Source organism: Homo sapiens, chromosome 17 (genome assembly GCF_000001405.40).
Source record: "Homo sapiens chromosome 17, GRCh38.p14 Primary Assembly".
NCBI lineage: Eukaryota > Metazoa > Chordata > Mammalia > Primates > Hominidae > Homo > Homo sapiens.
This window is the reverse complement of record NC_000017.11, coordinates 82018296-82031447: the sequence shown is the minus strand read 5'-3', so window position 1 is coordinate 82031447 and position 13152 is coordinate 82018296. Positions and strand designations below refer to the sequence as shown.

Sequence of the window (13152 nt, the reverse complement as noted above, 5' to 3'; positions counted from 1 at the left end):
GCGCAGGCCGGAGAGAGCCCAGCGACCTGGACCCGGCGGGGAGGGCTCCGCGCGCTGCGCTTTCTCGGGGACCCGCCCCCTGCCGCCGGGAGCCAGCTGGGAACTCCGGGGTCTGCAGCCGCCCGAACCCCCAGACGGACAGCCCCCGCGGCCCTCCCGTCCCTTCAAGGCAGCGGCGAGGAGGGGCGAACAGCCGCACCCCGGCAGGCCCTCCCTGCAGGGCTGGGGGCAGAGGGCCGCGCGTTTGGAGAGGCACGGACGGTCGCGCGTTTGGAGGGAGAGGCGGGGCCAGAATGTATCACAAAGTGCAAACGCGCTGTATTTCCAAACCCCGCCGCGCGCAGGCGGCCGCAGCGTTCACGGTGACATCGCAAAAGGCGAGGGGGAGACGCGCCCGCGGGACCCCTTCCCGGTGTGCTCCCACGTGGCGTCGACCGGGAAGAAGGGGCCGGTAGGGAGCCCTTCCCAGGCGCCTCCCACGGGGTTCCCCCGCAGCCGCGACACCACCAACAGTCGCCGCAACCGCCGCGTGGAACAGACGACCCGGGTCTCAAAGAGGCGGCGCGGGCGGGACGCAGCCCCTGGTCCATCTCGGGCGCCGCCTGATGCACTCCTACTGCGCCCGGGTCCTCCCGGCCTGTCTCACTTTGGGGGGCTCAGGGTCCTCACGGGGGACGCCTGCACGTAAGCCAGGACGGCGTTCTGCAGGAAGCTCGCCCTCTGGGCCTCCTCGTCCCGGATGCGGGCGATCTCCGCCTCCCGGAGCCGCAGCTTCTCCCGGAGAGACGCGTTCTCGCTCTCCCTGTCCAGCAGCGCCTCTCGGTGGTCGCTCGCCATCACTGCAGGGCAAGGAGCGCAGTGAGCGGACGCAGCCCCAGCGCACCGTGGCACGGCCTCAGCACGGGAGACCTGGCCAGCCCCGCTCTCTGGCTGGCCTCACGTCCCACCAGTGGGCGGCGGGAGGACAAGGGTCTGGCTCACCTTTCAGCTGGCGCTCCAGGGCCGCCGCCTTCTCCCTCAGCGCCTCCTGAGCCGCCAGCTCCGCCTGCAGCCGGCCGTTCTGCTCCTGCAGCTCCACGCGCACCCTGCTCACCTCGGCCACCCTTTCCTGGTCCTTGAGGCTCAGCTCCTGCCAGGCACGAAGGCTGGGGAGTGAGGCGAGGGTTGGGGGCTAGCACGCCCGGGGCCCCCCACCGGAGCCCCGCCTACCTGCTGCAGCTCTTCCAGGCGCCGCCGCAGGCCCTCAACTTGCAGGCCCAGCTGGCTGACCCGGGTCTGGGCCTCGGCCACCACCTGCTTCTGCTGTAGGCAAGCGCCCTGCGCCTCGTCCCGTGCCTGCGCCAGCAGTCTCAGCTTGTCCTCCAGGTGAGCCAGGCGCTGTTGCTGTGAGCACAGGGGCCGCCACGAAGCATGAGGGGCTCAGCCTGAGCTCAGCTGAGGGAATGTCTGCACGGGCACGACCCCACCTCTCTGCAGGACTGGCTGCTCTAGTTACTATGACTCTGAACCCGCTCCCCTGGCAGCCACCTCCTCCAGATGCCCTCTGGGCTCTCCTCCTCCCTCTTCGGTCACACCACCCCTCCCATCCATCCATGCGTGTAGTCACAGGCTGCAGAGATGGGCCAAACCTCTCCACCGTCTCAGGCCCTGATCCAAGGCTGAAGCGGACCCACCAGTGTCCAGGGTGTGCTCATCTGACCTCAACACCACACTCCCGCCTCCCCACTCAGACCGAAGCTCTGGAGTCTGCATGCGGGCCGCAATGCCGGGCAGCCTGGCTCCCCCGGAGGGTGGCGGACATGTGTGGCTCACCTCCTCCAGGCGGGCCTGGCTCTTGGCCTTGATCAGCTCCTCCTCAGCCTGGCCACGCTCGCTGAGTGCCGCTGCTTTCACTCGGCTCAGCTCCTGCACAGATGGCCACCTGCCAGCCCGTTCTCCTGTCCCTGGCCCAGGGCCCTTCTCTCTCTGGCCCATCCAGCCAACCCCAGCCAGGGGGGCTCCTCTCTGCCAGCCTCCTGAGGGCCACGCAGCTGCTCTGCCACCTAGCTCGCTGGGCAAGGTTCCTAAGGCCAAGGAAGTCCGAATGCCACCTAAGTCCCTTTAGCTTCTTGGGCACACTGGTGGGTGGGTCCCCAAGGTGGGGCCTATGAGCCTCTGGGAACAGGAAGAGGTCTCTGGTCCTGAGGCGGCGAACACCAGGGGCCCCTGCCTTGTTCAGCCCAGGACTAAGGCAGAGCTTGGCCCTGCCTGGTGGGCACTCACCTCCTCCAGGGACAGCCGCGCCGCCTCCAGCCTCTGCACCCGCTCCTGCATGGCCTTCTCACTCTCCTCCAGGTGACGGGTCATATGCTCCACCTGCTCAGGGGCAGGGATTGTGGGGCCAGAGTGGAGAGCGGGCCTCCCTACCTTCTCCTCACGGACTCCCCACCCTGAAAGGCAGGTGTCTCTTGAGAACCTTGTTCATTCTGAGAAAGCACTGCCTCAGATGGCCTAGCAGGAAACTACCGCAGCATGCACACCCTGAACGAGTGGGCCTTGGTGTCTCTTCAACGGCAGCCTGTACTACGGCTCAGACATTGCCGGGGTCCCCCCGCCGCCCCCAATAGGAGGTTCTGGGTCTGACATCCGCTCAGGCTGGCAAAATACGGCCACCCAGTGACCCAAGGTTGGCAAGGGAAGCTCCCACCAGGTGTGTGCTTTGGGGACACCTGCGTGACACCAAGACCAGAGACTGAGGCGCATTAGAGGCCAACGAAGAGGGCACCTCCTTGATGCGCAGGCTTTCGGAGTCCTCCAGGCTCTGTCTGCATCTTCTCTTCTCCATGTCCAGGCGCTCTGGAAGCCCAGGGTGGGCAGAGTATGCGTGAGCATCCCCTGGGGGCCCCCGTCCCCCGGTGCCCATCCCCAGGCCCCTCCACAGCAGGCCTGCCCGTGCCCACCCTCGGCCTGGATGGCCCGCATCTTCAGCTCAGCTGACATGCTGGTCATCTCCTGCCTGGTCTGGAACAGCTGCTCCTGCTGACACCTGAACTTCCGCTCCAACTCGTCTACCTGAAAGCCGGCACCAGGGAGGGAAGCTGCAGCCCAGCCCTGCCGCGCCCACCCTGGGCTCCCTGGCTCCATCCACCACAGCTACCTGGTTTTGCAGAAGCAGGTTCTTTTCATTGGCAGCAGACAAGTCTCTGAGGAGTTTAGACTCCCGCTCTGCAGCTTCCTGGGAGGGGAACGGGGTATGGGTAGTGAGGGTCACGAAGCCGCCACGCACCCCTTGGCCCACCCCTCTCAAGCCCTGCCCACCCACCTGCTGCTCCAGCTTGAGCTCCTTGGCCTGCCTCTGTGACAGGCTCAGCTGCTCCTGCTCCGCTGTGGCCAGGAGCTCCCCCAGGTCCTGGGCCTTCTGCTCCGACAGAGCCAGGGCGGCCTCTGTCATCTGCAGCCTGCAGAAAGGAGGGGCAGCACCCCCGCCCCGGTTGGAGTTTCACTTGCCTTATAAAGGCCTCGCTGCTTTCACTGTTGCTGGGCACCTAGTCAACCCCAGCCAGCACCCGCCTCCTCCAGGAAGGCTTCTGGGTTACTGCCCCAGCCTCACCATTTCCCACCTCTGCTTTGCAAACAGGACTTGCACACAGGTTCACACCACCTTTCTCTGCCCTGTGGGCACGTCTCTGAAGTATCCTGAGGCCACCCCCCACTTACTTGGCCTTGAGAGCGTTGATGATGGAGTGCCTCTCATTCAGGGCTTCCTGAAGCTGCCCTACACGGGCTGCCGACGCCCTGTGGGCAGAGAGGAGGGTGCAGAGAGTAACCCAAACCCCAGAGCGCTCCCATACCCCTCTGGCCTCGGTAGCTGCTGCTGTTCCTTAAGCATCTATGGTCGCCTGGGCACTGAGCCTCCAGCGACCTCCTCGTGGCCTCACTCGTGGGCTCAGGTTGGTCCCATCTGAGTCTGAGCCAGGACCTGATCCCTGAAGCCTCACCCTGCCCCTGCCCTGGGCCCGCTCACCTGCTGCTCTTGGCCATCTCTTCTCGCTGCTTATCAATAGTCTCCATCAAGTCGAGGAACTGGGGACAGAGACAGCCGCAGCCCTGTCAGGGCACCTGCAGCCTGTCCACCTGACCTTCTCAGGGGGAAGGAGAGCCAGCGCCCACCAATGTGGCAAGGCAGCGGAGGGTTCCACCCACGGTGCCCTGTCTCCTTCACAGGAAGGGTGGCCCCTGCAGAGCGAGGCCTCAGGGCTCAGACGCCAGCTCCCCAAGGAAGTCCACCTGCAGATCAGACCAGGAGGCCGCCCCTCCTTCCTGGTACCAGCCACTCAGAGAGGCTCCAGGGCCCCGAGGAAGGGAAGATGGGCAGACCACGGGGCTGAGGGAGGAAGGACGTGGCCAGGCCCTCCAGCCATAAGCAGCTCCAAGGTCAGTGAAGGCGCCATCCTCACCTGCTTGGACTTCTCCTCCCGGAGGTGCTGGACCTCCTTGCTGAGGACGTGAGTGCGGGCTTGGTTCTCCTGGAAGGTGGTGAGCCGGTCCTGGCTGTGGCCCATGGCTTGCTCTGCAGAAGGAGCTGTGTCAGCTGGGCACAGGGGCTCATGCCTGGAATCCCAGCACTTTGGGAGGTCGAGGTGGGTGGATCACCTGAGGTCAGGGGTTCGAGACCAGCCTGGCCAACATGGTGAAACCCCATCTGTACTAAAAATACAAAAAAGTAGCTGGGCATGGTAGCGCACACCTGTAATCCCAGGTACTCGGGAGGCTGAGGCAGGAAAATCGCTTGAACCGGGAGGTGGAGGTTGCAGTGAGCCGAGATTGCGCCACTGCACTCCAGCCTGGGTGACTGAGTGAAACTCAGTCACACACACACACACACACACACACACACACACACAAAGGAGCTGTGTCACCCCGGGGCTGCTTAGCCTCAGGAGTAGCTGGTGGCCACCAGCCCTGCACCCAGCGGCTGGCTGCTTGGGAATCTATGCCGTGTGGGGCAGCGTCTCACCCGGCAAGTCAGGGGTGCCCCCTCAGTGCATGGGGGTGGAAGTGCTTTGTGGGGTTCGGGCTGTGAGCAAGAGCCGCCTGGTGTTGGGGAGCGCGTGCACATGTGGGGCAGAGGTGGTGGGAGCTGCTCCACCGCAAAAGGCAAGGGCCATCCTGGGGCATCTGGCCACCATCCCAAAGGTCAAGGGGCACTGCACAATGCTGAGGCAAATGCTGTGCCCAGCTCAGTTCTGGAAAGATCTGGGTAGCATGTGGCGAGGGGGCAGAGGTCAGGAGGGATGACAACAACCAGGGCAGTGCCGAGGCGAAGCCAGGGACGGCGCAGCTGGAGTCAGAGGCCAGGCAGAACCAGCAGGAGGGATGAGCCCTCAGCACAGGGGCTGGAAGAGGCTGCCGCTGTGCGCGGATTAGGGAGTACGGGGGGCCTGGCAAAGTCCCCAGCTGAGTCTGGGGCACTGGGGCCTGAGGCTGAGACATCAGCTGCAAGGATTCGGGGTCGCTGGTGGGAGGGAATGTGTGGAGGCCAGCACAAGCCAGGGGGCCCCACCTCACCTGACTCACATGCAGGGCCACAGACTCAGGGTGACCAGGGAGCCTTCCTGGCCAAGGCCAAGACCTGGGCCACCCGAAGCATCAGCAAAGCCACCAAGGCCAGGACTGTGAGCCACACGGCCTCAGCTTCCCCAGCTGTGAAACGGGCACCCTCCACTGCACAGGTCCTAAGAACTCAGCAAGTACACAGGGCGCCTCGGACAGTGCCCATGTGTGGCGAACGCCATTCAAGTGCCAAACAGGTGCCCCACGACCCCTCCGCTCCTTCCTGCTTCCCCTGGGCTCTCAGGCTGCTCTCCTCATCAGTTCCCGTCCTGAGCCCGGCACCCCGCCCTCGGTGGACAGGCCTCTGTCAAAGGCTCACGCGTCACTCCACACAGCCCTGCACCGTACCCACGGCTCTGAGGACGTCTCCAGGGATGTTGTTCCCAGCCAGGTCCAGTCTCCACAGGGTTCTGTTGCTGGGGAGACAGTTCATGAGGGCCCGGCCCCCCAGGAGGCCAACGTTATTCCAGCGCAGGTCTGGAAGGAAACCTGTAGTCACCAGACAGAATGCACCTGGCAGAGGGGGAGCTGGCCTGGCCGGGGTGCTTCCCTAGGGGGCACTGCCTTGCAGTCATCAACAGAGCAGGAGCACAGGCCAGTCCCCTAGCCCCTCACTTCCCAGAGCAGAGGCAGCCTCAGAGGGATGAGGGAGCCTGAGGGCGCCTGGGAGGCCTCACCCAGCTGCTGGAGGGTGGTGTTGCCCTTCAGGGCTAGGGCCAGCTCCTCCGCGCCCTTGTGACTGATCTGGTTGTTGCGGAGGTCCAGCCGCTGCAGGGCGCCGTTGGCCGCCAGGCCCCCGCAGAAGGTGGCGAAGGCATCGTCCCACGTGCCCAGGCTGTTCCACTCCAGCGTGAGGCTGCAGGAGGGGCAGAAGCCAGTGTTCACCTAGGGGACTGCCTAGCCCGTGGGGTCCAGGGCTTGGGGACGGGTGTGGGCTTGGGGTCTGATGGGCCGGAGCCTCTGCCTACCCCTGCCAACGTATGTGAAACATGGGCACCTGGCAATGGGGAACTCTTGGGCTGCAGAAGCATGTGCTCGGGGCCAATCCTCAACCACACAGAGACAGGGCCTGGGGTCGGGACCACCACCCACCTCTGAATGGACTTGTTCTGTTGGAGGAGTTTTCCCAGAGCCTCGGCCCCTGCAGCCCGAAGGTTGTTGCCCTAGGAGAGAAACAGGCCGGTAGTCACTCGCGTGCCCTGACTGGCTCTGAATTCCCGCCCATGCCCCAAGGGCCTTGGTCAGCCAGGGGACAAGCCTGGGGTGCACCCTGCAGCCTTCCTCAGCTCCTGGGCTCCCTGTCTTCAGGGGGCTTCCAAGGGCCGGCTTGTTTGCCAATGTGAACTCTTGCTCTGGAGATGGTCACACACAGGAGGCCATCAGAGAGCGGCCTGGGGACTCACAGACAGCTTCCAGCCACCTGCCCAGACCCCAGGCCCCCGAGACCTGGCATCTTCCACCTCTCCTCTTGCCCTTGGGTGGCACACTCGGACACTCAAGAGTGCAGGTATCTCACCTTTAAGTCCAGAAAGCGCAGCACGGTGTTGGCACACAGGCCTCGGAGCAGCAGTGTGGCCCCTGTGTAAGGGGGGCCGGCGGTCACTCTCTGCCCCTGCTGACCCCAAGGCCCTCCCCGTGGGCCCCTTTTCAGGGCAGCTCCCTAGACCCAGGAAGGGACAACTGTCCCGATGGTCTGGGTTGGCGCTGGCCAAGAGTCTCGCTGCGAAGTCATGTTTGAAACACCTGCAGCCCCTGCCAGGCACCAAGCCGGCTCTGCACGCGGGGAACCAGGTAAGACCGCGAATGTTAAGGCCTCTCCCCCGTCATACAGAGGAACTGCCCTCTACTCCCAGGTGCAGGAAGGGGCGCCCCTGCTCGCTTTAACTACGGCACAGAAATTGGAGAGCCTGGAGAGGAAGCGACCTCGGGCTGCCGAGGCAATGGTGTGGGCAGCTAAGGAGCAGAGGGATCCACCCCGCCGCGCCTGCCCACCTTCCTCGCTGAGCATGCAGTCACTCAGGACCAGCTCCGTGCACAGCGTCTCCCTCGGCAGCAGCTTGCCCAGGGCCCTGCAGGTCTCCACCGTCAGGCTTTGCGTGGCCAGGTCCAGCCGGCCCCTGGGAAGCTGGTGCAGCTGCTGCAGGACAGCCTCCTGGGGCTCGGCCCCACTCTCCCTGCACAGGCGGCTGTAGGAGCGCCGGAACTCCTCCATGACCCGCGGGGCCGGCAGGGCCTCCTCCGCATGCTCCCGCAGCTGCTGAAAGGGAGCCGCGCGGTGCGGAGCAGTCCCAGCGCCGGGTACAGGAGACGGGGCCTCCGCCGACCCGGGCGGAGAGCAATCCGAGTGGGCTCCGCGGGCGGGAGGTCCTGGGAGCGCGGGGCTGGGCGGTAGTCAAGGTCCGCTTTGGGCTGGGGCCCCGCAGTGCTTGGGGACCACCCGTGCAGGAAGCAGGCAGGTGCGTCGCGCGCCCCCACCCAGCCCTGCCCCGCCTGCAGCCCCGACCCCCGCCCTCGCGACAGCCGCGTCGGGGCCTCAGTATCCAGGAAGAACAAGGCGCGCCGGGAGAGGCCGCGGGAACTACAACTCCTAGCAGGCTCTGCGCAGGCAGCGCTTGGTGCGGGCCAATGAGAACAAAGGAACTGGCGCGCCTTTCGGGCCGCAAGCTGAGAGGGGGCAGCGCGCTCCAGGTTCATTGGCTAGGGGCATGAGGGTGGGGCCCCGGGAGGGCATGCTCCGGGCTCATTGGCTGAGGGTCGTGAGGGTGGTGCCCCGGGAGGGCGCGTTCCAAGTTCATTGGCTGCGGGACGTGAGGGAGGGGCTGCTGGAGGGCGCGCTCCGGGCTCATTGGCTGAGACGTGGGGGCGGGGCTCCGAGAGCAGGCGCTTCGGACTCATTGGCTAGGGGCGCGGGGCGGGGCTCCGGGGGCGCGCTCCGGTCTCATTGGCTGGAGGCGCGGGGCGGGGTTCCGGTGGGCGCGCGTTGAGGCTGCGGTCATGGAGGGAGCAGGAGCTGGATCCGGCTTCCGGAAGGTGAGGGCCGGAGGGCAGGGGCTAGGCAGGCGCGGACGCTCCGTCCCGACCTCACGCGTGACACTGTGAGGGCCAGACGCCAGCCCCCGCGCCGCCCCCTGTGCCTTTGAGGTTGGGCCCGTTCTCAGACTCCATCTCCGGCCGGGCCGCGCGCCCCGCGCCCTCGTGGGCTGGTGTCTCGCAGCTGGTAGGAGGGGGCGTGGAGCAGCCGGGGCTGCGGGAAGGTGGAGAGGGTCTGCAGAAACAGGCAGGGGTGGGCGCCGTCACGGCGGAGTCCAAGCCGGCGAAGAGAGAGGAGGAGCTGGGCCGCCGCCCTGCGCCCTGAGCCTGGGGTCTTTTGTTAAGGGGAGATGAGGCCCCAGGACGGGGACAGTGAGATCGTCCAGCCCGAGGAGCCGGCAGGACCTACCCCAGCCGCCAGGCACAGTGGTTTCCCTTTTGTTTGCTCCCCGGTGGGCGCCAGCACTGGGCTAGGAACGCGTGGTTTCTTCGGTGCTCCACGTTACACACACTTGACAGGGATTAACCCCACCTGCCAGTGGAGAAACTGAGGCACGGGGGCGTTAAGTGACTCAGCAGGGCTAGGGTCAGACCTAGGCCGTCTGAGCCAGGATCCGCCCAGGCTGGAGGGCGTGCCCTGCTCTTCCCTGTTCCTGGAAGTGGAGCTCTCTGGGGGTGCCATGTGCAGAGGACCCCATCGGTGCAGGCAGAGTGGTTTCTGAACCTTTCTACTGCTCTACCTGAAGGTTGGGGCACCGAGCTTCCTCGATGTCAGCAGGGCCTCGTGGGCCTCTGTGGCCTGGGAAGGGAGGGTCTCAGGCCCTTGTGAACCCATCCTGGAGGGAGGACTTCAGCCCTGTAGAAGCAGGGAGAATTCTGTTTCTCCTGAATCAGGCCCTTCTTTATCACCCAAGGCAGCAGGCGTGGGGGGCGGGGGGTGTCGGTGTGGGGAACTCTGGTGGTGGAGTTGAAGATTCTTGCCGGAATTCAGAAAGAGAAAGTCACTGAGGCTTGGGCCACCTCACTGGGTGGTTGTGAGAACACCAGGTTAAAGTAGCCAAAAGGCCACTGCCGGAGACGGGGCACTGGGTACACACCCCAGGAGGTCATGTGTTCTATCAAGCCCACCTGACAACTAGAGGCCCAGGGGCTCTGGCCAGAGCTGGAGTTGTGGTCATTGCAGAGAATGAGCGTGAGAATGACGGGGAGTGGGGGGCCCGTAGCCCTGGCGTGGCGCCCACGTCATGGGGCAAAGCTGGCTGTGTCCTAGGCACCCTCCACAACCGCCCCAGTGCTGGGCCTGCCTTCCGAGGCCACTGCCGATGTACGGGGAAGCCCCATGGATTGTCGAGGCAGACCTGGCATCCGCCACTCTCTGGCGTGGTCTTCCTTCCAAGGCCTGGGGCAGCAGTGTTGGGGGTCCCGGAGCAGGTGGGGAGATAGTGCCTTCTCTACCTTTTCTGGTGCCTTTCTGGTACTGCTGGCAGTAAGCAGCTGGAAGGACCAGCAGGTGGCACTGGGCTCATGCGGGTGGTGACTGGGACCCTGGCTAGGGAACAGCAAGGGCTCAGGACGAGCCGGGATGCTGGACAAGCCGGGATGCTGGACCCTGCTGCCCGCTGCTGGGGAACATTCTTCACCATCTGCATCTTAGGGCTTCACCCGTCCATGCTCTGCTTGTCACCTGCTGGACTGCTCTGGGTGAGGTGCTGTGACCTCCCTGTGGCCGATGCTGGTGGCCTGGCTGGTAGTTCACCCACCTGCCCTTTTAGTGGCCTGTTTCTGGGCTCCTGGGTGCCCACTGCCCCCACCCCCAGTCCTGGACTCTCCGTGCTGGCTCCTTTCCCGGCGGCTGTGGGCCGGTGCCTGGCCTGGGCCACCTCACTGAGTCTCATGGCTCCACCAGCCACCCAGGGCTGCCCTCCTGAGTCTCGGCCGCCACCACTGCAGCTGCCACCCACCACTCCTGTGTTCACACACAACGCATCCCAAACTGATCTCCTGTGTCCTAGCTCCAAAATGCACTTGCCCACGGCCCCCCATCTCCTCAGAGCAGTGCCGTCCTTTTGGGGTCTTGGCGTAGACTCCTCCCTTGTCCCCGTCCTCCATCCATCAGAAAGGCAGAAAGGCCCTGGCTCTGCAGCCCCCTCCCTTCCCCCCACCCCGGGCATGGCAGCCAGAGTGGTCCTTTCCAACGCCAGTGCTGCTTTCCACAAAAACCTAGAGAGGACTCCCAGTTTCCTGCCATGGAGACACGGAGAGCTCATCATGCCCTGGGCCCTCAGCGTCTGGCCCACCCCTCACTCCAGCCTGTGGACCACGCTGGCGCAGCCCCGCTCTGCGCTCCCAGGACACCAGCACCTCCTGCAGGATCATGAGCACCAGGGCAAGACGGGCGGAGCTGACCCAGCACCCAGAACAGAGTTGGCACAAGGAAGGCCCTACTGGTGGCACTCCCTCAGGCCAGCCCACCTGCAGAGCAGCCACCTCCAGCCTCCAGACCCAACCCGGGCTCTGCCTTCCCTGCCTCCCCACAAGGAGAGCAGAGCCATGGCCCTCTGCCGGGGATGGGAGTGCAAGATTAGGCCGGACTCGACGAGGCCTTTCTCCACTCTCTCCCTGGAGCCCCAGCAGCGGGGCCTGCTCCCGTGTCTGCGACCACTCACGCCGTAGGGAGGCTCCCAGCCCAGACCCTGTGCAGGGCCCTGGCGCCCCCTAGTGGAGCTGCCCACGCATCTGCTTCAGCTTCTGCCACCCGAAGCACTAGGCTGGCCCTTGTCCCCTGCCCTGGGAGAGGCTCAGGCACAGAGGGCGTCTCCAGCCAGAAGTCACAGCCACTGTCACCAGAATGGTCACCACCCTGGGGGGTGCGGGGGGGAGGGCGGGGCGTGGCGCTGACACCCCCCTCCCTTCTAGGAGCTGGTGAGCAGGCTGCTGCACCTGCACTTCAAGGATGACAAGACCAAAGGTGCGGGTGGGGGTGCGGGCGGGAGGTGGGTCCCCGTGTCTGTCCTCAGGGACCCTTTCCTGCAACTCTGCAGGGCCAAGGCCTCGGGAGGGCGGGGGTATGTCTGGAGCACCCAGCCAGAGCGGTGGGTGAGGGTCCCGCATAACCTCCCCCTGCCTTGCAGTGAGCGGGGACGCGCTGCAGCTCATGGTGGAGTTGCTGAAGGTCTTCGTTGTGGGTGAGCCCAGGGCCCACGCTCCCTCCGGGCACAGCATCCGGAATTTTGCGTTTTTCCAGCGGGAAAACCAAGACGTGTTTTCCCGTTTCCCACAAGGGCCTAAACTTGGGTCTCCTGAGCCTGTTTGTCAGGTGCTGTGGCCTGGTTCTGGGGGCTGCCCGTGGGTGTTGGGGGGGGCACCGGCCCAGGCTGAGGCCCTCACTGGGCTCGGGTTTAAGATCCCCCCAGCATCCCCCACCTCTCGCGTTTCTCACCGCAGAAGCAGCAGTCCGCGGCGTGCGGCAGGCCCAGGCAGAAGACGCGCTCCGTGTGGACGTGGACCAGCTGGAGAAGGTGCTTCCGCAGCTGGTGCGTGAGCGTGGGTCGGGGCGCAAGTGGGGGTGCCCGGCTGGCTGGCCCTAAGTGCTTCTCTTCCCCACAGCTCCTGGACTTCTAGGGATCTCAGCCGTGGCTGAGGCCACCCCCAGAGGAGCCCCTGGTCCACAGAAGCAGGCCTTGTGTTTCCAGCGGCCTCTGATAAGAGGCAGGGAAGGACCTGAAGGATTTGGAGTTGATTCAAACAAGATCTCTGGGAGTCTCCAGCCTGTGCAGAAGGGGCAGGACTGCAGTGCACTGCGGGCCTTGGAGTGTCCAGTGGGGACACTGGTGTGGGAAGGGGCAGCACCTGGGGAGTCCCTGCCTCTCCTCCCTGGGACAATAGTGTGCATGCCACCCGGGGTCCTACAGGCAGGTGCTGGGAAAGGCCTGGCCAGCAGGTAGCCTGTGTGTTTGACAAACAGCAGCTGGCAGCGCTGCCTCCTGCCCACATTCCTGCCACCCGACATCAAAGCTGGCGTGTGACCTTTCCAGCCATGCGATATTCCCCTTGGAAGATGCTTCCCCAGGCTATAAATTTGTTCTCACAAAGCAACATCAATAAATCAAAACTGTCTCTCCCAGCTTGGCTTTCTTGCCATTAATCACCAAAGTCAAACTGCTTCAAAGCTGCACTTCCCGTGTGTGCCCTTCCACTCCTGGTAAGAAAGCAAAGCGCCAGGAGGATGCACTAACAAACAGCATGTGTGCGAGTGCCTCGGCCCCACCCCCAGGCGCTGTGGAGCCCGGACCACGTACATGTGGCCACCTGCCTGGGAAATGTTATTCCTACCCCAGGGGTTGGGGCAGCCACGGGGGCTGCCACCAGTGGGCAGTGGCTTCCACGAATGTTCCTGTGGTCACAGGCAGGACCAGGATGCACAGGGTGAGAGGGACCCTGGCCCAAGGCCCTGCTGAAATGAAGGCCTCCTCTTTTCCCAAGCAGTGCCAGAGAGGTGCAGGTCAGCCCCCTCGGGCCACGCCCCCTGCC

The 13152-nt window shown here is 65.0% G+C and overlaps 2 protein-coding genes across 7 annotated transcripts, besides 7 other annotated features; one reads left to right on the top strand and one right to left on the bottom strand.

Annotated features, from left to right (window-relative positions):
- Positions 135 to 244: a silencer, noted in NCBI's record as "silent region_9181". NCBI's record gives its function as "represses an Ori minimal core promoter by ATAC-STARR-seq in GM12878 lymphoblastoid cells {active_cell/tissue: GM12878}" and the evidence as "EXISTENCE:reporter gene assay evidence [ECO:0000049][PMID:35858748]".
- Positions 265 to 554: a silencer, noted in NCBI's record as "silent region_9180". NCBI's record gives its function as "represses an Ori minimal core promoter by ATAC-STARR-seq in GM12878 lymphoblastoid cells {active_cell/tissue: GM12878}" and the evidence as "EXISTENCE:reporter gene assay evidence [ECO:0000049][PMID:35858748]".
- LRRC45 (leucine rich repeat containing 45) lies at positions 297 to 8143 on the bottom strand. Of its 2 annotated transcripts, NM_144999.4 has the most exons (17): positions 7585 to 8143; positions 7109 to 7170; positions 6685 to 6755; positions 6270 to 6448; positions 5941 to 6069; positions 4437 to 4549; positions 4004 to 4062; positions 3697 to 3774; positions 3302 to 3437; positions 3137 to 3214; positions 2940 to 3051; positions 2765 to 2835; positions 2263 to 2355; positions 1813 to 1905; positions 1210 to 1383; positions 982 to 1129; positions 297 to 839 (listed from the first exon to the last, which is right to left on the bottom strand). In NM_144999.4, the coding sequence occupies exons 1-17, from the start codon at positions 7802 to 7804 to the stop codon at positions 643 to 645; spliced, it is 2013 nt and encodes a 670-aa protein (NP_659436.1). In that variant the 5' UTR covers positions 7805 to 8143; the 3' UTR covers positions 297 to 642. The 2 variants fall into 2 exon arrangements, with proteins under 2 accessions (NP_659436.1, XP_047291520.1); XM_047435564.1 differs by lacking the exons at positions 297 to 839; positions 982 to 1129; positions 1210 to 1383; positions 1813 to 1905 and having other exon boundaries at positions 2307 to 2429.
- Positions 1152 to 1675: an enhancer, noted in NCBI's record as "H3K27ac-H3K4me1 hESC enhancer chr17:79987649-79988172 (GRCh37/hg19 assembly coordinates)". NCBI's record gives its function as "activates a minimal SCP1, AML or CMV promoter by ChIP-STARR-seq in naive H9 embryonic stem cells {active_cell/tissue: H9 hESC(naive)}" and the evidence as "EXISTENCE:reporter gene assay evidence [ECO:0000049][PMID:30033119]".
- Positions 7170 to 8093: an enhancer, noted in NCBI's record as "H3K27ac-H3K4me1 hESC enhancer chr17:79981231-79982154 (GRCh37/hg19 assembly coordinates)". NCBI's record gives its function as "activates a minimal SCP1, AML or CMV promoter by ChIP-STARR-seq in primed H9 embryonic stem cells {active_cell/tissue: H9 hESC(primed)}" and the evidence as "EXISTENCE:reporter gene assay evidence [ECO:0000049][PMID:30033119]".
- Positions 7170 to 8879: a biological region, named in NCBI's record as "H3K27ac-H3K4me1 hESC enhancer GRCh37_chr17:79981231-79982154".
- Positions 7830 to 8879: a silencer, noted in NCBI's record as "silent region_9179". NCBI's record gives its function as "represses an Ori minimal core promoter by ATAC-STARR-seq in GM12878 lymphoblastoid cells {active_cell/tissue: GM12878}" and the evidence as "EXISTENCE:reporter gene assay evidence [ECO:0000049][PMID:35858748]".
- CENPX (centromere protein X) lies at positions 8570 to 12745 on the top strand. 5 transcript variants are annotated; one of them, NM_001271006.2, is made up of 5 exons: positions 8570 to 8622; positions 11539 to 11590; positions 11754 to 11807; positions 12067 to 12155; positions 12229 to 12745. In NM_001271006.2, the coding sequence occupies exons 1-5, from the start codon at positions 8587 to 8589 to the stop codon at positions 12241 to 12243; spliced, it is 246 nt and encodes an 81-aa protein (NP_001257935.1). In that variant the 5' UTR covers positions 8570 to 8586; the 3' UTR covers positions 12244 to 12745. The 5 variants fall into 5 exon arrangements, with proteins under 5 accessions (NP_001257935.1, XP_024306407.1, NP_001317465.1 ...); XM_024450639.2 differs by having other exon boundaries at positions 11754 to 11938; positions 12067 to 12140; NM_001330536.2 differs by having other exon boundaries at positions 11754 to 11938.
- Positions 9643 to 10315: an enhancer, noted in NCBI's record as "H3K27ac-H3K4me1 hESC enhancer chr17:79979009-79979681 (GRCh37/hg19 assembly coordinates)". NCBI's record gives its function as "activates a minimal SCP1, AML or CMV promoter by ChIP-STARR-seq in naive H9 embryonic stem cells {active_cell/tissue: H9 hESC(naive)}" and the evidence as "EXISTENCE:reporter gene assay evidence [ECO:0000049][PMID:30033119]".